The 23,128-nt window shown below is 38.6% G+C and overlaps 1 long non-coding RNA gene across 1 annotated transcript, besides 3 other annotated features; it reads right to left on the minus strand.

The window, feature by feature from the left end:
* Positions 2,964-3,023: an enhancer, noted in NCBI's record as "active region_27932". NCBI's record gives its function as "activates an Ori minimal core promoter by ATAC-STARR-seq in GM12878 lymphoblastoid cells {active_cell/tissue: GM12878}" and the evidence as "EXISTENCE:reporter gene assay evidence [ECO:0000049][PMID:35858748]".
* Positions 7,442-7,491: a silencer, noted in NCBI's record as "silent region_19524". NCBI's record gives its function as "represses an Ori minimal core promoter by ATAC-STARR-seq in GM12878 lymphoblastoid cells {active_cell/tissue: GM12878}" and the evidence as "EXISTENCE:reporter gene assay evidence [ECO:0000049][PMID:35858748]".
* Positions 7,872-7,921: an enhancer, noted in NCBI's record as "active region_27933". NCBI's record gives its function as "activates an Ori minimal core promoter by ATAC-STARR-seq in GM12878 lymphoblastoid cells {active_cell/tissue: GM12878}" and the evidence as "EXISTENCE:reporter gene assay evidence [ECO:0000049][PMID:35858748]".
* CASC19 (cancer susceptibility 19) lies at positions 10,985-20,827 on the minus strand. Its single transcript, NR_120364.1, has 3 exons — positions 20,675-20,827; positions 11,245-11,315; positions 10,985-11,084 (listed from the first exon to the last, which is right to left on the minus strand). It is a non-coding gene; the product is annotated as a cancer susceptibility 19 (long non-coding RNA).
* Between the last annotated feature and the right edge of the window lie 2,301 nt (positions 20,828-23,128).

Here is a 23,128-nt window from a genome sequence, read left to right on the forward strand (position 1 = left end):
ATATATGAAGTCCGGCTTCAGAAGAAATTAAAAATAATTGAGAAAACATTGCAGAAACATAAGAAAGGTTAAATAAAGATATGAGAATTAACTAGCTAAGTAATAATTTCAGGAAATGATAAACATTTTTTGCATTTGAAGTCATGTCATTTGATTGGGAAATGAATGTAGAAAAAGAAAGGACAGAGACATGTGGAGTGGCCACCACAACATTTTTAGAGATGAGGTTTGATAATACTTTTTTAAAAATTTCATGGATCATCAAGATCTTTTCCAAAGAGTCAAAATCATGAAGATTAAAACCACAAGTGTTTATTGTCTGATAATGCTATCAACCTTGATTTAAAATTTGCATGGAAATGCCATCAAAAAGGCTATCTTAAAGACATATGTCTGGGCCAGCCTAGCTGAAGATATTCCTGAGATTTATAGATTCTTTAAAGTCAAGGCAAACTATTCCAAGATACAAAGAAGCTTAAGATAGAAGGAGAAATGATATCTCAGCAGCACTCTCTCTCTGAGCCCAGGTCTCCTTACTTCTGGCTCTATAGGCATCAGAAGTTATCTAGAAAGTTGCTCAGCTTTGCTCTGTGTAAACACCTTGGGCTAAGTGACCCTCCCACATCTTTGTTTTACATTTATAAAAGAGAGGGTGTGATTAGTTTTTGTAGGCAGCAATTGGCAGAAAGTGGGTCAGTTGGTAAGAATTCTAATCAGTCACCTCAGAGGCAGTGAAAATGTCTCATGCTCAACCCAAAGATGGGAACTTTCTTTGATAACACAAAATTTAATTTGTTGTGGCCCCTTACAATGTCTCCAGGCATGTGTGATATCAACTTGGAAGAGGGGGTGAATTACTGGGACTTTTCCTTTAAAAAGGCACAGGGAAGCACAAAGACATTATCAATTTTTCTTTATGGGTAACGGTATGTTTTTAAAATAATTTCTTAGTTGCTTCTTACTAAAACCTTTATGTTGATCTGTTAAAACTTAAGACGATATAGAAGTCATATTCATCTGATAGAGGAGAATTATTGCACATAACTTTCAGGTCATACATAGCTAATGACTACATCATCCTGATGTTTCCCTCTTCTATGGACAAGAGAAAGTTTCTTTCTTCTGATTAGGAGAAATTGGTCATGAGGACTCAATAAACACAATAATAAAACAAAGCTATGTTATTGTCCTCTCGGTTCTTCAGTGTGAGAGAAATAAAAGATAACTTATTAGGAGCTAATGTTGATAGAAATCATTTCATTACCAAGATATGGAAAAGCAAATATATTAATAATTCCTTAATTAGAATTACGCATTGCTAGAAAGTTTGAGAATCCTGTGATTGAATTTTAACATCAAGTTGGTCTGAAATTACACAATAGTACTCAATCTCATAAAGATAATAATACAATAGTGCTCAATAGTACAATAGTATTCAATCTCATAATTTCAGACCAACAACCATCAGGTTGGTCTAAAATTACACAACAGTACTCAACTCATAAAGATACTAACAGCAAAACTTGGCTACAGAAGAATAGAAATAACCATGTATGGTTTTGCTGTGACTAATAATTAATAAGGGATAGTGAAGAAGATACATACTTTTATCTTTAATTTCTCTAAAACCATTCATACATGTAGACATGTAGAGTTTCACATACATATGCAGCTATTCCTGCACACCTGTATATATAATCTTTATAATTATTAAAACTATAATTAGCTATAGACGTTCAGTTTTAGTATTAAAGTTTACATTTTGAATTTTAAGAGATAGCAAGTAAAAAGGCATATCAACCTTTTCAAGCTGCCATGAAAAACGAATGAATGTATGAATGAACAACTATTATTCAAAGATAGCGACCACAAGTGAGGCCCTCATTGCCACCTGGTGGCAGCATACCCTAATTGAAGAATTAGTTTTTAAGTGAAATTGAGAAGCCTATACACATCAAGTGACGAAAGCCACATCACGTGAGATACATGACACACATGAGATAGTAGAGGGTCACAACCCCTGGTAATTTGAATGCAATACTTCTATTTTTATTTTCTACCTCAAGTAAAGGGGAGTAACACAACTCCCTGGTCACCACGGAGCATACTTTGGTTCCAGGCTGGATTCCCCACAGGCGATATTTAAGAGTGCTCATTTAATGAGCCACAAAGCTATTTTACCCATAAGGTCACCTGAAGCCTATTCAGTTGCCATATTGACTAAAAATGTTTTTTAAAAGTTTTATTATGTCATTCTATAGGCAGAGTGTAGTGAAAATAACGTTGGTTATCCATCTAGATCAGCAGCGTGTTCTAGGAATACCTATCCTTTACTTCTCAAAAATTCTCTGTAGTTCAATGAATTTGTGCACAAAATTATTTACAAAAGATTATTTTATTAAATTAATCCCAACACCTAGGCCACAATTCAGACCAATTATACTAGAATCTTTGGGAATGAAAATAGGCATTGATATTTTTGTTAACATTCCAATTTCCAGCCAGTGTTGAAATCATTGAACTGGAGTAAAGGCTGAAGCATAGGCCAAGGAAAGATAATTTTCCTATTTAAAATTAAGCAAATTTACAGCAAAGATCAATATAAAATCCAAGCATATATAAAATATACGAAACAAAAAAATGCCATCAGCGTCTATCCTTCAGTAATGAAAAATTACTCTTTCCGTTATTGAAGAGCAGTGGAAAGTAAACTAGCTTTAGCTGACAGCTTACTGTGGAGGAGCTTTCTGTTTACATTTCATGTAAGAACAATGTATTTAATCTTCCCCCACATCTTCACCCATACGGTAAGCAGACTGTATTATCCCCGTGCCCCTTACCGTTTCGGAAACTGAAGCAAAAATTGATTAATTAGCACAAGATCATGCAAGTTTTAAATAGCATAGCATGGATTTAAACTTGACTGTGTGACTCCATATCTTCAGTGACGGCTTGCTGAATTCAAATTGTTTGAGAAACAGAATAGCAGCCATCAGACATCCAAGGATCTCCCTTGATTCATGAACTGGATTCAAGAACTGGAATAAAGAGATACTTTACTTCTTTACAAGCCTTACAAACCACTAAGGCCAAGGGCCAAAGTCTTAACAGTAGCACTGTACCCTGATTCTAAGCTTGCAGTTGTAATTGATTCAACAGTAGGAATTTTCACTAGTACTTTACAGGTTTAGAGAGAGAAACTCGGTTCAATGATGCATCTGACTTGCCCTGTGTGTTTTCTCCTTGTTTACCCGCTGGCCTACTAAAAGAAATCTACTTCAAATGCAAAAAAGGTAGAAGGTCAGCTGATTAGAAGTTAAATAAGTCAAAGGCAAATTTTCAATGGAAAATCTTGGTAGAAAGAATGAATTTTTCAGCCATAATACAGACTACCCCAGTAGTTTCAAACTGAGGTCAGTCATGGTAGCTGGTTCACAGTGTCCTCTACTTTGGACTTCCCCTAGACACCTGAGCTGTTTCAGTTTTGCCTCCTGGGTATCTTCGTGATTTAATCAGTCAAATAGTAAAATAGGATTTACTCAGCTTCTACTCAGCCTCTACTTTTTTTTTTTTTTTTTTTTTTTTGAGACAGACTCTCACTCTGTCACCCAGGCTGGAGTGCAGTGGCGCGATCTTGGCCCACTGCAAACTCCACCTCCCGGGTTCAAGCCGTTCTTCTGCCTTAGCCTCCCGAGTAGCTGGGAGTATAGGCGCCCCCCACCATACCTGGCTAATTTTTTTTTGTATTTTTGATAGAGACGGGGTTTCACCATGTTAGCCAGGATGGTCTCGATCTCCTGACCTCGTGATCCACCAGTCTCGGCCTCCCAAAGTGCTGGGATTACAGGCATGAGCCACCGTGCCTGGCCAGCTTCTACTTATGTGTGCTTAATGTAGGTCCCTTCCACCATAAGTTTGCGCCTGGTGAAAAAAAAAAAAAACAATATATGCACATGTGCAAGTCTATTCATGACACTTCTGAGCTCAAAATCTCTACAGTGACTTTCTCTTGCTTTTAAAGAAAAAAATTGAACTCACAGCCGAGCATGCTAGCTCATGCCTATAATCCAAACACTTTGGGAGGCTGAGGCAGGAGGATTGCTTGAGCCCAGAAGTCTGAGACCAGCCTGAGCAACATGGTAAGACCCTGTTTCTACAAAAAATAAAAAAAAAAAAATAGCTGGGTATAGTCATCCACACCTGTAGTCCCAGCTAGTCAGGAGGCTGATTGCTTGAGCTCAGGAGGTCGAGGCTGAAGTGAGCTTTAATTGTGCCACTGCATGACTGCAGCCTAGGCAATAAAGAAAGACTTTGTTCCAAACAACAATAAAAAGATGAGATTTTTGACAGATTCTAAGACACTGCTTTTAGACTTGGGCCTTGCCTAGCCCTCTGAAGTCTTCTATCTCATCATCTTTCTTTCAGTTCTCTAAAAGTTTATTCTTCCCTCCTCAGGACCTTTGCCTATATCTTTCCCTCTTCCTAGAATTCAGTCCCAGCTTCCATACTTCTCTCAGGGTATCAATAACTGACTGCCATGTAACATGCCAACCCCAAACTCAATATATTATAACCACAGCTGTCTTATTAGCTCATGGTTCTATGGCCAGCAATTTGGGCTAGGATCAGCAGGATGGTTCTTCTGTTATTGCCTGGAATCACTTTTACAGCTGCAGATATTTGGCATCTGTAGTGGGGCTGAATAATCTAAGATGGCCTCACACAGTCGCTGCAGGCTGTCAACTGGTTGGACTCAGGGGACTCAGCTGCAACAGTTTTTCGCTTTTCTACCAGCCTCTCATCCACTAATAAACTAGACTAGACTAGACTTCTTCAGCTGGCAGTCTCAGAACAATATTCCAAGGGAGCAAGAGCAGAAACTTCCACTTTATCTGTTGGACACTGCAAGTCAAAGGCCAGTCCAGATTTAATGCATGGGGAAAGCAATTCTACCTCTTGGTGGATAAGCTGGTCATCTTTTATATACCACACCTGGCTAACTAACACTGACACTTCAGATGTCAGTTCCCACATCTCTTCTATAGGAGAACATTACTCTGAATCATCAGATATGATAAAATCCTATTATATGCTCTCAAATCACCCTGTTCATTTTCCTTATAGCATTGGTTTCATTTTACGAGCAAATTTTTGTGTGGTTATTTGATTAAATCTGGTTTCCCTCCTGAACTGTGAACTCCATGAGGGCAGGGACAAAGTCTGTATCTTCAGTGTCTACCATAAAGTAGGGCCCAGCATCAGGATTCCATAAGTGCTTGTTGACTGAACACATGAATGTGAAACTAAACTGGGAGGAAAGTGGTTTAGAAAGTTACTCTACCACTTCCTAGTTGTGGGACCTTCATTAAGTTACATAACCACTTTGTTATTCAGCTTTCACATAAGCAAGCTGAGTGTATTCACACATAGTAGGTGCCAATAAATGCCTTTGAAAGCAATATGAGGTTAGTCACTTAATAGTGAATGAAAATTGTATATTTTATCTTAATATATTTTTGGTGCATGAGAAATCACAGAAAAACAGGGAATCGTTAACTCCTATGTTGATTAACATTGGCACATTTATAAATACTGTTCTAACTACTCTTGTATCATTGTATTAGTCCATTTTCACACTGCTGATAAAGACATACCTGAGACGGGGCAATTTACAAAAGAAAGATGTTTAATTGGACTTACAGTTTCACATGGCTGAGGAAGCCCCACAATCATGGCAGAAGGCAAGGAGGAGTAAGTCATGCCTTACATGGATGGCAGCAGGCAAAGAGAGAGAATTTGTGCAGGGGAACTCCTCTTTTTAAAACCGTCAGATCTCATGAGACTTATTCACTATCACAAGAACAGCATGGCAAAGACTTGCCCCATGATCAGTTGCCTCCCCCCAGGTTCCTCCCACAACATGTGGGAATTCAAGATGAGATTTGGGCAGGGACACAGCCAAACCATATCAGTCATGTATGTATAAACAGGGGCAGAGCAAAGTAATGTATAGATTCAATGCTACTCCCATCAAGCTAACATTGACTTTTTTTGCAGCATTAGAAAAAAACTACTTTAAATTTCATCTGGAACCAAAAAAGAGCCCATATAGCCAAGACAATCCTAAGCAAAAAGAACAAAGCTGGAGGCATCATACTACCTGACTTCAAACTATACTACAAGGCTACAGTAACCAAAACAGCATGGTACTGGTACCAAAACAGATATATAGACCAATGAAACAGAGACCTCAGAAATAACACCACACATCTACAACCATCTGACCTTTGACAAACCTGACAAAAACAAGCAATGGGGAAAGGACTTTCTATTTAATAAATGGTGCTAGGAAAACTGGCTAGCCATATGCAGTAAACAGAAACTGAACCCCTTCCTTATACCTTATACAAAAATTAACTCAAGATGGATTAAAGCCTTGAATGTAAAACCCCAAACCATAAAAACCCTAGAAGAAAACCCAGGCAATACCATTCAGGACACAGGCATGGGCAGAGACTTCATGACTAAAGCATCAAAAGCAATGGCAACAAAAGCCAAAATTGACAAATGGGATCTAATTAACTAAAGAGCTTCTGTTCAGCAAAAGAAATTATCACCATAGTGAACAAGCAACCTATAGAATGGGAGAAAATTTTTGCAGTCTACCCATCTGACAAAGGTCTAATATCTAGAATTTACAAGGAACTGAAAACAAATTTACAAGAAAAAAATCAAGCAACCCCATCAATAAATGGGCAAAGGATATGAACAGATACTTCTCAAAAGAAGACATTTATTTGGCCAACAAACATATGAAAAAAACTCATCATCACTGGTCATTAGAAAAATGCAAATCAAAACCATGATGAGATACCATCTCACACCAGTTAGAATGGCAATTATTAAGAAGTCAGGAAACAACAGATGCTGGTGATGCTGTGGAGAAATAGGAACGCTTTTACACTGTTTGTGGGAGTGTAAATTAGTTCAACCATTGTGGAAGACAGTGTGATGATTCCTCAAGCATCTAGAACCAGAAATACCATTTGACCCAGCAATCCCATTACTGGGTATATACCCAAAGGATTATAAATCATTCTACTATAAAGACACATGCACACGTATGCTTATTGCAGCACTAATTACAATAGAAAAGACTTGGAACCAACCCAAATGCCCATCAATGATAAAGCAAACATGGCACATGGCATATACCATGGAATACTATGCAGCCACAAAAAATAATGGGTTCATGTCCTTTACAGGGACATGGATGAAGCTGCAAGCCATAATTCTCAGCCAACTAACACAGGAACAGAAAACCAAACACTGTGTGTTCTCACTCATAAGTGGGAGCTGAACAGTGAGAACACAAGGACACACAGAGAGGAACATCACACCCTGGGGCCTGTTGAGGGGTGGGGCGCGTTGAGGGGTGGGGCCCAAGGGGAGGGAGAGCATTACGACAAATACCTAATGCATGTGGGACTTAAAACCTAGATGACGGGTTGATAGGTGCAGCAAACCACCATGGCACATGTAACAAACCCGCAGTTCTGCACATGTATCCCAGAACTTAAAGTAAAATAATAATAATTTAAAAAAACAGGGCAGAGGTAAAATGGTAAAAAAATAAAATAAAATAAAAGACAGGAGCCTGAGGTCAGCCACCAACAGTCTTTGTAACCCTCAGGTGGCACATGTCTTTTTTTCTCATAGATGGAGAAAATTTCCAGGGTTAATCTACTATCTTGCCAAAAATACCCATGATTTGTCAGTTAATCCCCTGATATTCTTTGTGCTGGAAAATCTGTCAGAATGACCAAAAAGGCTTACATTCTACAGTCTATGAGAAACAAAACCACTGGGGTAGACTGAAATGAAATACAGTCATTAGTAGTAAGTTTGAGGTTGACTGCTCTTTAAAAAAAGAAACAGTTTTTTTTTTCTTCTGTTTTTCCAGTAGTGTCACTCTTCAGGGGCCCCTCTTTACTTTGTACTCTTTGACAGTCAGAAATATACCTACCCATTTCCAATTTCCTACTATTGTACTTGAAATATGGATTTCACATATTTGGGGTAATCACTTCATCAGTAAAGTTGGCCTTCGTAAGTTAAAAACACTCAAATTTTAGAAACTCAATGTTCTGTGGGTTACAAATGACTGCCCACCATGCTGTGGGGCATGACACCCTTTTGTAATTTCTGAAATACGAAGTACTATTTTTTCTTTAATGCATTCTCTCTTTTTAGTTTCTCCATCCTGTGATATGTCTGTCCAAAAGGACTTCCCAAAAACCACTGTATGGCAGAAAAGGTTTTCAAAATGCATGAGAGAATTATAGCAAAGAGAAATAACTCACACTAAAGTTTTTAAAATATCTCCGGACTATGGCTAGGAACTATTACTATGGCTAACAAGTGTAATTTCAGCATTTTGGGAGGCCAAGGCAGGCAGATCCCTTAAGTCTAGGAGTTTGAGACCAGCTTGGGCAATGTGGTGAAACCCCCCTCTGCAAAAAATACAAAATAATTAGCGGGGTGTGGTGGTGCACACCTGTGGTCCCAGCTACTCATGGAGGCTAAGGAGGGAGGATCACTTGAGCCCGGGAGGCAGAGGTTGCAGTGAGCTAAGATTATGCCACTGCACCCCAGCCTGGGAGACAGATTCTGTCTCAAAAAAAAAAAAAAAATCTCTGGACTATAAACTCTCATGAATCTAGCATTATTTGGATCAGAAATATATTCATAGGATAGACTGTGATGACAAATAAATCAAATTTGGGATGCCTCAACACAAGAAATATTTTTATGTATCATTATGTAACAGTCCAGGGAGGCTGAAAATAGAGTGTATGTTGCAGGTAAGAAATTTTGCTCTGCAGTCATTCAGGAATTGAAGCTGATAGTGATTCTGCCATCTTGAACATGTGGCATCGCTGTCTGTCTGGAGGGTGCCATCACAGTCAGCTAGAAGGGGAAAGGACACAGAGAAACACATATGGAGTGGCCACATCACTTCCATTCACATTCCACTGCCCAAAGCTCATGGCCACAATTAATTGCAAGAGAAGCTAGGAAATGCTATCTCTATATATACACGAAGGAAGAAGTGGAAGGTGGACTTTGGTAAACCGTATCTCATGTAAGAAAAATTAGGCTGGGCATGGTGGCTCATGCCTGTATTCCCAGCACTTTGGGAGGCTGAAGACGGTGGATCAACTGAGGTCAGGAGTTCAAGACCAGCCTGACCAACATGGTGAAACCCCGTCTCTCCTAAAAATACAAAATTAGCCAGGCATGGTGGTGCATGCCTGTAGTCCCAGCTACTGGGGAGGCTGAGGCAGAAGAATTGCTTGAACCCGAAAGACGGAGGTTGCAGTGAGCCAAGATTGCGCCATTCCACTCCAGCCTGGGCAATAAGAGTGAAACTCTGTCTCAAAAAAAAGAAAAGAAAAAAGAAAGAAAGAAAAATTAAAACTTTCAATAAGAGAATATTATTCTTCAGTATTATTTTCCATCACTTCCCAAAGTGATGCTTAACTTCCTGCTAGACCAGCTTTCATGCTGATCTCAAAACACAGTGTTCTTCCAGTCTGTCTCATGCTCTCCCATATCTGCAATCTTTGCTCTGCACAGTGGTAAGGACCATTTTTCTAATTCTATATTCTTGAATCACTCCCAGTTATTCCCTGGATAGAGTAATATGAGGCATGGTGTCTCTCTGAATTTCTTTCTTTATCTCTAAAATGGGAATACTACTAATATCAACCTCATTGTTGATACGTATTAAATGTAGTTGACTTCATATATGTAAAGCACTTAGTATAGTGAACGTGTCTGAATTATTGTTCTATAACCTTACCTTCCATGATTCTATCTAATACACATCCCAACTCAGTGATACACAGTGTCAATGACAGAAACATAATCAGCAAGAATAACAATCACTTATGCAGTGCTTCCTATGTGCCAGAAACTGTGAGATAATAAATGTTTGTTTTTGTTGTTTTAAGACACTAAATTTTAGGGTGATTTGTTACATAGTAGCAGATAAAGTGGTAAGAGGTTATGTCTACTCTGTTTAACTGTTCTGGGCCTAGTTTCCTACAGTCTCTAATGTTTCATCTGTAAAATGACGACAATTCCCCTTTTATCCATTTGTTACAATTACATTAAAGTATTACCTTAGACTAAGACACATGTTACAAGGGATATGAAAGTGTTTCACTCAATGCCCAGCACATGGAAGATATTTAGTAAATATTTCCATAATACTTCTGCTGCAACAAATCACACAGCTCTCTCCTCACTACCAGCTTGGATTTCTAGCAATGGAGAGAGTTTCTTTAATGAATTCCTACACATAATTATAAGATCCTACATAGGTTGCTATCCAAGAAAATTAAGGAAAAAATCATTTCTACACTAATTCTCAGCATGCCTGAGCAGCTTACAAAGGAAGCTCTTTCCACGTGTCAGTGTCACACTCCAGGATTTTAATGTCCCATTTCTGAGAAACCATTCCAAACTGCGGTAAATGCAGTCCAAATGTATAAGGACTTGGTACATTGGTAACAAAGCACATGCAAGAAAAATATGCAAACTCAGGAAAAATGCAAATTTGAAACAGTAAGTGATTTCACTTGGTCATGAAATACCCCAGGGAGTGCACCAGGGCAGTGATTTATTAAGAGAACTTTTAGAAGTAAGTGTACAACCCCAAGCGCTCTGTGGGTTTCTATAAGACCCCACTTTTACAATTGGGAGAGACTAAATTCTCTTGGGCCTTTAATTATCTGTTCTTAAAAACCTAAATAATAAACATTGCAAGCACTCAGCCAGTTCATAATTATTTTCATGACAGTGACCCTCTTGGGGTTTTGCTGATTGGTCCTTACTTAGAAGGTGTAAATAGAGTAGGCAAGTAAGAAAAACAAAGCATAAAAGAGGCAGTGCATCTCTCTGCTTGAGGAAAACTCACTTTGGACAGCACCTTGAATGCTATCAGGGAAGCTAGAGTGTTCTCCTGTTCTTTGCTGTCCTTGCCAGTGTCTTCTCCTGAACTCACATCAGAAGCATGCCTTCAAGGGGAAAATGCAACAATAGTAATATTAATAATAATGAGTGAAGTGTATTAAGCACTTTTGTGCCAGTACTGTTCTCAGACAGGCAAACAGACTATTTTTCACAATATTTCACAAATGAGGAACAGAAAAGTTAATAACTTGACCAAAGTCTTACAGTAAGCAGGTGGTACCAGCAGGGTTCTAACCCAGGCACTCCAATTCTAAGGTCAACTTTGTTAGTGTTATCTAAAAAAGAAAAGCAATAATAAATTATCCACAAGAAAATTTTACAACTCAAGTTTTTCATACTCTTTAAAAAGGCATTTTTTCACATGTACTCTCATGTTCTATGATTAGACCTAATCATTGTCACTTCACGGCTAGAGAAACTAAGACCAGAAGAGCTTCCAGATCTTGACTAGCACCACTCAATGAGTGGGATGACCAGAACCCTGTACTGATCATGCAAACTTCACCACATAACAGCTTGTGATATTGAGTGAGTTGTTTCACCTATACGACCCCTCTAAACCAATTTATTAATCTAGAAAATGGGAATAATAGCAATTTCTATGTAATAAGTTGTTGGAGCACAAGATAAAGTTATATGTATAAAACATTTAGCACAGTTCCTGGTGCATAACAGGTCTGTAGTAAATATTTGTTGTAATTAGCAGCAAAATCATCTCCCTCATTACTGCAGTTGATTTTCCTTTATTATTGGAAAGAAATTTCTCAACTGAGTTTCAGTTGAATACAGTATTAGATTATTCCTTAACTGAGTTTCAGCATTTTAAATGTATACTCCCTACTCAAAACTACCTACTAAATCACGCCTGTAATTCCAGCACTCTGGCAGGCCAAGGCGGGTGGATCATGAGGTCAGGAGATCAAGACCATCCTGGCTAACACGATGAAACCCCATCTCTACTAAAAAATGCAAAAAAATTAGCCAGGCGTGGTGGCTGGCACCTGTAGTCCCAGCTACTTGGGAGGCTGAGGCAGGAGAATGGTGTGAACCCGGGAGGCAGAGCTTGCAGTGGGCCGAGATCGTGCCACTGCACCACAGCCTGGGCGACAGAGTGAGACTCCGTCTCAAAAACAAACAAAAAAACACAAAAATCTACCTACTAAAAAGAAGTTCTTCAATGCTTAGACTTTGAGCAAAGAAAAAGTCTGCTCTAACAGGAAGCTGGTGATATAGAAAGGTAAAGTTTCACTTCACAGGCACTTTGATTTCCCTTCGAGGTGGATACTGAATGATTTGTGTGTGCGCACATTTTTCTATGCATTATTCAAAATTAAAATTCCTTAGAGGAAACCACTGAAAGCCAATCATTTACAAAACTTTAAAAATGACATCTTGAAGAGTTCTTTGGTGCTCATTCATCAAACTTAGCAATGATTTAACTGTAATTCTTTATTCAGATTCATCTCCCACAAAATAAAAATGCCATAAAGCTTTACAGTACTGTATCCTAATGAATAGAGAAACTAAAGAAAAAGTAAGATGAGCAAGTGAGAGGAAAACCCGAAAATGAGCCTGTCCTGGCATGTTTCTAAAAAGAAAGAAACAAACAAACAAGCAGCCCCTCCTCTCAGCTCTTGGGAAAGAAATATTGAATCTTGACAATATCTGCACTTCATAGTTGATTCATAGCATGACCTATCTCAAACAATTTAAGATTCAAATGAAGTTTGCAATTAATCTTTCGATATCACTTTGCAAAACATTCTCATAACCTTATCCAGCCCTTTTACAAATCAATCCTGTGAGGTGAACATCACTGTGTTCCCATTTTACAGAGAAAGGCACTGAGCCACAGAGAGGTTATATACTCATGATCAATAAGCTGGTAAGACTAAGAACCAGGAATGATACTGTCTTCCTTCTCCAAATATCCTGTTCTTTATTATGAGTACCTAAACAGTATTAAAAATTAATTACAGCTCAACAATAGTAAGTAAATGTCCTCATGTGAAATCCACCGTTTAAAACTTAAGGTTATCTATTTATCAAATAAATTAAATCCTACTCACTTAACAATATTCATTGAGCTCATTCTGTAAACAACCATTAGGCCAGGGGCAGATATGAAATATGAGGCTCAATCTGTGATCACAGAGATGAAATATACAATTTAGAGAGAGAAAGATAAGCATGATGACAAATAAATAATGTATGAAAATTAGCCATTATCTTAGGCCAACTTTTTCTAAGCTGTAAGCTGTCTGCCTACTTCTGCCAGGTGTTAGTAATTGTTTTAAAAAGTGGGGGAAGAAGAGTACTTCATGGTGGGAAGATATTCATTGAGGACATAAGCATCTTCCTCTTAGAAATTAACAATGCACAGTGGCCTATTGCAAGTTTTGAAAGCCCTGCAAACAATAAAAGCCTGATTAGTTTTTATTGAATCAGTATCTCCTAAACACTTTTTCATGAAACAAGGTTACTCACAAATCTTGTCGAGGAACTAATGTCCTAGGAAAGTGGTTTTCAAGCTTGAGCATGTACATAAGTATCATTGGAAAGGTTGCAAAAATACAAATGTGTGGGCTCCACTCCAGAAATTCTGATTGAAGTGGTCTCATCTGTCATCTGAGAACTTGCATTTTTGTCAGATTCCTAGCTGATCTGATGTTTCAGGACTGAGAACTTAATTTGAGTAGTATCTCTACAGAACAGTTTTTAAAATGTTCTCCTGGAGTAGGATGATTATACTTAACAAAAATGTAATACACTCAGGTGATGGACACCCTTAGTATCCTGATTGGATCACTACACATTATATACATGTAACACATTTTCTCAAGTACCCCATAAATTTGCACAAATAAATAAATAAATAAAATTATACTTTTCTCAAATAAAAAAATAAAATAAATGTTCCTCTTGAATGGTAGAATCTTTGTTTTTTTGTGATAATCATAAATACATATAAATATTCTCATCATTACATGCATGTAGTTACCTTCCTTTACATGATGCACCAGAAAGAATACCCACTCTAAGAAGGAAAGAATGAAGAGAAGAAGGCATTGTTTAAAAGACCTATTATTAGAATAAGTCAAATTCTATGTCTACCATTATTAAGCTGTTTGACTTTGAGCAGGGATTGGAAGGCATTTTAAATTGAGGTGGAGATATGCACAAAGCCACGTGGGAAATGTCATGTGTCCCTGCATAAAGAGAACAAGCTATTTTGCTTGGTTGGAGATGAGGAGACAGAGGCTGTACATAAGAATGTGTTCAATTTAAAGCAACAAAATATATCGACCAAACTACTTTGAGCAATCAAGGGGATATATTGGCTCACATCACTGAAATATATACTGGCACAGCAGATTTCCAGTTAGGTCTGATCTGCTAGCTCTGTCCCCTCCAGAATACAGGCTCCAGGCAGGCAGGAAGGAAGAGGACATCAGTTCTCTTGGTGTCTAGCACGCTGCCTGTATTAAGGTAGGTCCTCAATAAATTCATGTTGTAGGAAATGAATGCATGTTCTCAAAGATGCGGTTACTTTCAGTATCACTGCTTTCCTCATGGTTTCCACTTCAATATTAGTCTAACTTGCCTTAGGGACCCAAGATGGCTGCTATTCACTTCAATTAGCTAAACACTTCTCTTTTCATGGCTGTGAGAGACTAGCTACCTCTTCCATAAATGAATTTTCTCTTCTTTCTGGGCACAATAGTCTCTATTTCCCAGCCTCTTTTACAATTAGGTGTATCCATGCAACTCAGTTCTAGCCAATGGCGTGTGAGTAGTAGTGATATCCACCACTTGCAGACCTACACATAAAGGCTCCCAGACACATCTTCTGTGCTCTTTACTGGAACACTTGCTTGATTCCAATAAATACAGCAACCTTAGCAGCTACATATTGCAGTTGGCAGAGCTTTCATGTTTCAGCTTCTTCATATTTTTTAGTTTTGTTGTCACTGTTGGTTTTTTTTTTAATTGATTCAGGAGATGACCTAATAAAAAATTGAAGAAAAATAAAGCATTTTGTTCTGGATTTCTCATTAGGAACATGAGGTTTACTCTATTGCAACTGGCTTAGTTCATATGATCATCCCCTGAGGTGAGGGAAAAAGATGCGTGAATTGATTAAGCCAAGGTCACATGGTCGAAATGTAGAATTGGGTTTTGAGGTCAGTTTCCCTAAATCACCCAGATATCCAAGTGGAAATCAGGCTCCATTGACAAAAGGGAACAGTTCTTAGAAATGCAACTACAAATGTCCAATCCCAGTTGGCAAGTTCGAAGCAAGGAAGGGCTTTCCATTAAAGAATGTGGATGCTACCTGGTGGGCAACTGGAGGCCACTGGCATATATTTTTTTTGGGGGGGGTTTCATAAACTATTGGTTTTTTTAATTATTATTATACTTTAAGTTTTAGGGTACATGTGCACAATGTGCAGGTTAGTTACATATGTATACGTGTGCCATGCTGGTGTGCTGCACCCATTAACTCATCATTTAGCATTAGGTATATCTCCTAATGCTATCCCTCCCCCCTCCCCCCACCCCACAACAGTCCCCAGAGTGTGATGTTCCCCTTCCTGTGTCCATGTGTTTTCATTGTTCAGTTCCCACCTATGAGTGAGAACATGCGGTGTTTGGTTTTTGTCCTTGCGATAGTTTACTGAGAATGATGATTTCCAATTTCATCCATGTCCCTACAAAGGACATGAACTCATCATTTTTTATGGCTGCATAGTATTCCATGGTGTATATGTGCCACATTCTCTTAATCCAGTCTATCATTGTTGGACATTTGGCTTGGTTCCAAGTCTTTGCTATTGTGAATAGTGCCACAATAAACATACGTATGCATGTGTCTTTATAGCAGCATGATTTATAGTCCTTTGGGTATATACCCAGTAATGGGATGGCTGGGTCAAATGGTATTTCTAGTTCTAGATCCCTGAGGAATCGCCACACTGACTTCCACAATGGTTGAACTAGTTTACAGTCCCACTAACAGTGTAAAAGTGTTCCTATTTCTCCACATCCTCTCGAGCACCTGTTGTTTCCTGACTTTTTAATGATTGCCATTCTAACTGGTGTGAGATGGTATCTCATTGTGGTTTTGATTTGCATTTCTCTGATGGCCAGTGATGATGAGCATTTTTTCATGTGTTTTTTGGCTGCATAAATGTCTTCTTTTGAGAAGTGTCTGTTCATGTCCTTTGCCCACTTTTTGATGGGGTTGTTTGTTTTTTTCTTGTAAATTTGTTTGAGTTCATTGTAGATTCTGGATATTAGCCCTTTGTCAGATGAGTAGGTTGTGAAAATTTTCTCCCATTTTGTAGGTTGCCTGTTCACTCTGATGGTAGTTTCTTTTGCTGTGCAGAAGCTCTTCAGTTTAATTAGATCCCCTTTGTCAATTTTGTCTTTTGTTGCCATTGCTTTTGGTGTTTTAGACATGAAGTCCTTGCCCATGCCTATGTCCTGAATGGTAATGCCTAGGTTTTCTTCTAGGGTTTTTATGGTTTTAGGTCTAACATTTAAGTCTTTAATCCATCTTGAATTAATTTTTGTATAAGGTGTAAGGAAGGGATCCAGTTTCAGCTTTCTCCATATGGCTAGCCAGTTTTCCCAGCACCATTTATTAAATAGGGAATCCTTTCCCCATTGCTTGTTTTTCTCAGGTTTGTCAAAGATCAGAGAGTTGTAGATATGTGGCGTTATTTCTGAGGGCTCTGTTCTGTTCCATTGATCTATATCTCTGTTTTGGTACCAGTACCATGCTGTTTGGGTTACTGTAGCCTTGTAGTATAGTTTGAAGTCAGGTAGTGTGATGCCTCCAGCTTTGTTCTTTTGGCTTAGGATTGACTTGGTGATGCGGGCTCTTTTTTGGTGCCATATGAACTTTAAAGCAGTTTTTTCCAATTCTGTGAAGAAAGTCATTGGTAGCTTGATGGGGATGGCATTGAATCTATAAATTACCTTGGGCAGTATGGCCATTTTCACGATATTGATTCTTCCTACCCATGAGCATGGAATGTTCTTCCATTTGTTTGTATCCTCTTTTATTTCATTGAGCAGTGGTTTGTAGTTCTCCTTGAAGAGTTCCTTCATGTCCCTTGTAAGTTGGATTCCTAGGTATTTTATTCTCTTTGAAGCAATTGTGAATGGGAGTTCACTCATGATTTGGCTCTCTGTTTGTCTGTTGTTGGTGTATAAGAATGCTTCTGATTTTTGTACATTGATTTTTATATCCTGAGACTTTGCTGAAGTTGCTTATCAGCTTAAGGAGATTTTGGGCTGAGACAATGGGGTTTTCTAGATATACATGTCATCTGCAAACAGGGACAATTTGATTTCCTCTTTTCCTAATTGAATACCCTTTATTTCCTTCTCCTGCCTAATTGCCCTGGCCAGAACTTCCAACACCATGTTGAATAGGAGTGGTGAGAGAGGGCATCCCTGTCTTGTGCCAGTTTTCAAAGGGAATGCTTCCAGTTTTTGCCCATTCAGTATGATATTGGCTGTGGGTTTTTCATAGATAACTCTTATTATTTTGAGATACGTCCCATCAATACTTAATTTATTGAGAGTTTTTGGCATGAAGAGTTGTTGAATTTTGTCAAAGGCCTTTTCTGCATCTATTGAGATAATCATGTGGTTTTTGTCTTTGGTTCTGTTTATATGCTGGATTACATTTATTGATTTGCTTATATTGAACCAGCCTTGCATCCCAGGGATGAAGCCCACTTGATCATGGTGGATAAGCTTTTTGATGTGCTGCTGGATTTGGTTTGACCACTGGCATATTTTAAGCATGGGAGTAACACTGTCAGGTTTTTTAAATTACAAAATGCTTTAGCATAGAGAAAATTATAAAGAACAATATAAGTAACAGATATGCACTCACTATCCTGCTTAATCAAATGTCACACTTTGCCAAGCTTGATTCAAATTTTTTAAAGCAAAGAAACATTACAGATATGGCTGCAACATCCTATGTGCCCCACCGCTGATACATACCTCTCTTCCCAAGGGTAACCACTTTCTGACTTTGATACTTATCATTCCCAGGCATGATTAAATGCTATTGCTGAATTTGCATATATACATAAATAATATATACAGTTGTTTGCATGTTCTAAAACTTTGCATTAAATAATATCAAATAATTAAAAATTTTCACAAATTGCATTTTTAACTCAGTCTTTTATAAGATTGCCAATAATGATATCTCTTCAGATCATTCATTTTGACTATTATATTATTTTTCATTGTATGACTATGCCATGGCTCACTTATCCATTCTGTTATTGATAAACATTTGTGTTGTTTCCACAATTTTGCTATTAAAATAATGGCATTGTGAACATTCTTGTGTGTATATCACTGTGTACACATGCTAGAGTTTCTCTAATGTATTATGGTGTATATTGCTGGGCCAAAGGCTATGTAAGTCTTCAACTTCCCTAGATGTCATACCAACTCATACATATATGACCAGTGTGAGCATTCTCAGTGCTCTACATTGTCCAGATTCTACATGAAGCACTGGTGGCCTATTGGTCAGGTTGACTGATATTAGAAGGTTATTGCCAAAGTCTATGTGAGAGAGACTGAGGGTCTGAAATACCTAGATGTAAGGGATATAAAGTGAGAGAGGAAAGAAGTTAACATATTTAGGAGCAAAATCCACATGACTTTGTGATTGATTATGGAGAAAATAAGGAGAAGAAGGGAACAGGAAGACTCTCAAGTCTCCAGATTGAACACAAGAGGAAGCTTATGTGCCGTGAGACTGATGACAAATTCCTTTTGAACATAGTGCCTTTGAGGGCTTGGTAGTAAAAAAGAAAGCACTATCCATCAGGCATTTGGATATTTAGGTCTGGAAGACTGAAAAGAGATCAAAACAGAAAATACAAATTATAGAATCATCGAGATGGGTAAAATCAGAAGAGTTGGATCAAGAAAAGTACCTAGAATCAGTAGAGAAGTGAGTTAAGAAAATATCTCTGGGAAACATTAATATTTAAAGGTATATAAAAGGAAGAGAAGACTGTGGAGAAGACAGAGACTGAAGAAGGAGACAAAATGTGTCATACTGTAGTAGCCAGAGGAATAGAGCTTCAAAGAATGAGTGGTCAACCACATTAAACACAGCTAGAAAACCAAGAAGGTAAAGAAATGAAAATTAAACATTAACATACAATGAAGTTATTGAGTCCATGTTAAAATGGTTTCAATGGAATAGCATCAATGGAAATAATTGCAATTAGTAAAAGAATTTTAGAAAAAGAAAAAATTAATACAGCTAACTTTCTCAAATTAAATTTTTTGAAAATAAAACAGTGAGATGGAATTCGAGTGCAAGATGTTTGTTGAAAATCAACACACATGAAAGGAAAGAGAGTGAACCTAAAAAAATTGGCTCCAGAGTCTATTAATGTAAAGACTATGTTATATTGTCTCTCTATCTTTAGGGAAACATATACCCAATTCATCTTGTGTCACCAGAATCAGATTCATCAAACCCATTCTGGACCACTCTGATCACTAGTTTCACCCTCACAGTCATAGTAAAGAAACTAAAGCAAAAGACTACAAGAGCAAAGGACAGAAAGGGAAATGTTATTTTCTCCCCTCACCTTTGCCCTCTTTGATTTTCTCCATTGTTGCTAAAAGGAACACTTAGAAAACTATGAAAGAAACTTCTGCCTGTAAATGCAGCTCCATGATTATGAATTCTGAATCCTTGTAACAGAAGAACCAATAGGACTGATCCATGACTTCTATTAGTAGAGACTGGGAAGGTAGGTGACTTTAGCTCACCAAGCCTGATCACAGCAAAATAGAAAATGATCACAGTGTCCCCTTTTTATCCTGGGGTAACAATGAACATTCAGTGGGAGCCAACTACTGTATTAAAGTCCTGGGTGCAGCTCCTGGCACATGACATGGCCCACAAGGTAGTAGTTCTGAGTACCCTTGCCTATCAGTGGTGCTGGGGCGAGAAGGGAGGGCAGCCTGCTCACTAGGGAGAGCAGGAATGAGGCTAGGAAGTACAGGGACCTGGCAAAGATGTCTCCTGTTTGAGAGAGACTTCAGTTAATGTTCAGTCAACTTCCTGTGGTGCTAAGAAGTGAAAGTTGAACTTGACTATCAAGGAACAGAGGCAGGTTGTTAGCTGGGCCCCTGGGAGGAAGTCAACAAGCTCCACCACATCTGACAACACCTACTGCTTGCAGCCCTTCCCCCAGGTCAGGCAGCTGCACACCTCATGCTTCCAACTGAGGGGGAATGAATGGGTACCAAGAGTAGGTGAGTCTACTTCTTTCCCAGGGGTGAGTAGCGGGTGAAGAAATCAGCATGTAGTGGACATTTACATGTGCCGGATACCTCATATATGCAGTGTGGTATCATTATCCTCACTGTGCAGATGAAGACACTGAGGCTCAGGGACTTGTTCAAGACACACATCTGGTCAATAGGGAGCCAGGATTCAAAATCACGTCAGTCTAGTACTCAAGTCCTCTGTTCTTTCCACGACTACATTAGATGTATCCCTAGATAGTCTAGGTGTAACAGCATGAGTCTCCCATGAAAGGAAGTGGGGGCTCTTGGAACATACCTCTTTAGGAAGCCTTCCATCATTGTGCTGCCTTCCTCCTCTGTGCAGCCTCAGCACTCACTGTTGAGCCCTTCTCTAGGAGTTTGCAATCTACGGGGAGTGATGGGCACATAAGGAAATAATTTCAATGTAGTATGGCAAATGCTGAGCTAGATAAATGCGCGAATGACTATGAAGAACAGAGGATTGGGGTCACCTAACTCAACATGAGACTCATGGAAGTCTCCTGAGGAGAAACCTCTGAGTCCTAGAGAGTGAGAATTGGCCAGAAAAATTAAGAAGGGGCAGGGAATTCCAGAGAGAAGTAACAGGTAAACAAAAGCAAAGAGGCATAAGATAGTCTGGAGTCTGGTCAAATTACAATCAGTTGGAAGTAGTAGAGAATAAAATACAAAGTGGAGAGAGGGGAGAAGTAAAGCTGAATAGATAAACAGGGTCAGCTTACAGAGGGTCCTATGCAGGCTAAATTCCAGATGCTGCTATAAAAATACAGGAAAGAAAACTCATGAAATATTTTAAGATTTTTGTGGAATATTTTAAGAGCTTTTGTGAACATCTCATGAAGCACTCCTGTGTTTGGAGGCAGCACTGGCAGCAAATCAAACATAATAAAAGGTCTGTACATCAAACATTGACACATTTATTCAACAAGCACATATTGAGCACCTACTATGTGGCAGGAACTCTCTTCATCAGCAAGTATTTTGGCACTAAATAAAACACAGAACACACCGCCCTCTTTGAAATGACAATAAAGAAAATAAGTGAATTATATATTATCTCAGCAGATATTGCATGGTATATGGAAAGCATATCAGGGAAGGGGGTGTAAAGTGTCATGAGAGGAATTACAATATTAATAGGATGTTAAGACAGCTCCTACTGAAGCCATGTTTAAACAGACACTTGGAGGAGAGGAGGGAGTTGGCTAAGTTGATATTTGGGGTAAGGCATTCCAGGAAGGGGGATCAGCCAGTTCAAAGCCCTGGGGGGTGGGGGCTGTGCTTGGCATATTTGAGGAGTGGTAAGGAGGCCAGTGTGGCTGGAACAGAATGATCAAAGAAAAAGGTGGTAGTAAATGAGGTCAGATAAACAGTAAGAGACAAGGGATTTTTAGGTCATCTAGAATTTAGATTTTTTCCTGAGAGGGCAGAGGAGCCACGAGAAAGCTCTGAGATGAGGATGAGATGATCTAATTCAGGTTTTAACTGGATAGTTCAGAGCAAGAGTGGGGGCAGGGAACCAGTGAGGAGACTGTGGCAATAATCACGAAAAGTGGTGCAGCGGCTTGGACCAGGGAGTTAGCAGTGGAAGCAGAGAGAAGTGACAACACTCTGCATATGGGAAAGGGTGGGCAGGAGAGAACAGTGCCCAAGATGATCCAGTATTTTGGCCTGAGAAGCTGGGGAAAAAGAAACAACAACAACAACATCAGTGGAAGGGGTTTCAGGGAGTCCAGGTGTTCTGGTTGCAGCTTTGTTTTGCCTTAAAAATATTTGAGTACGTAACTAGTAATGGGATTGCTGGGTTGAATGGTAATTCCGTTTTTAGTCCTTTGAGAAATTGCCACAGTGCTTTCCTTAGCAAACTAAGGCAGGAACAGAAAACCAAATGCCACATGTTCTCACTTGTAAGTGGGAGCTAAATGATAAGAACTCATGAACACATAGAGGGGAACAAGAGATACTGAGGCCTACCTGAGGGTGGAGGTTGGGAGGAGGGAGAGGATCAGGAAAAATAACTAATGAGCACTAGGCTTAATACCTGGGTGATGAAAGTATCTGTATAACAAAGTCCTGTGACGTGAGTTTCCCTAGGTAACAAACTTGCACATGTGCCCCTGAACTTAAAATAAAACTATATACATATATATACATATTAGAAAGAATTATACTTTTGAGTTTTAATAGCACATTTTCTGTAAGATTTTGCAATTTAAACTTCACTATATTTTATATAAACAATTAAGAGTTGAGTTGACCTTGATATTACATATTACAGATATTTTATTAACATCTATTAATTTTTAATTATTTGATTTTTTCAAAATTTCAAATAATATACCTATTTTTCAGATTTCAGGCAGGCCATTGAAAAGCTCCTAGTTCTAATTACTGTTCCTGTAATGCTTTATGAATATAACAGTCCGGCCTTTCCTCTTAGAGTTTGCAGTCTAAGGTAGAGAAATATAATAAAAGAAAATGCATGAATTTTTAACTAATATGGTGTGGGTTCTAAAGCTCAGATAAATTATTTCGTTTAGTTCTCACAACAACCCTCTGATGCAGGCACTATTATTTCCCCCATTTTAATAATGAGGAAACTGAAGCACAGAGAGCTTGGTTGACTTGCCCAATATTACCACACTCTGTGTGGCTAAGCTGGGATTTGAACCAAGAAAACTCTCTTCCCATAGGTCGTTGAAAAATTATGAAAGGTTAAGCCACCTCTCTG

Source organism: Homo sapiens, chromosome 8 (genome assembly GCF_000001405.40).
Source record: "Homo sapiens chromosome 8, GRCh38.p14 Primary Assembly".
Classification (NCBI taxonomy): domain Eukaryota; kingdom Metazoa; phylum Chordata; class Mammalia; order Primates; family Hominidae; genus Homo; species Homo sapiens.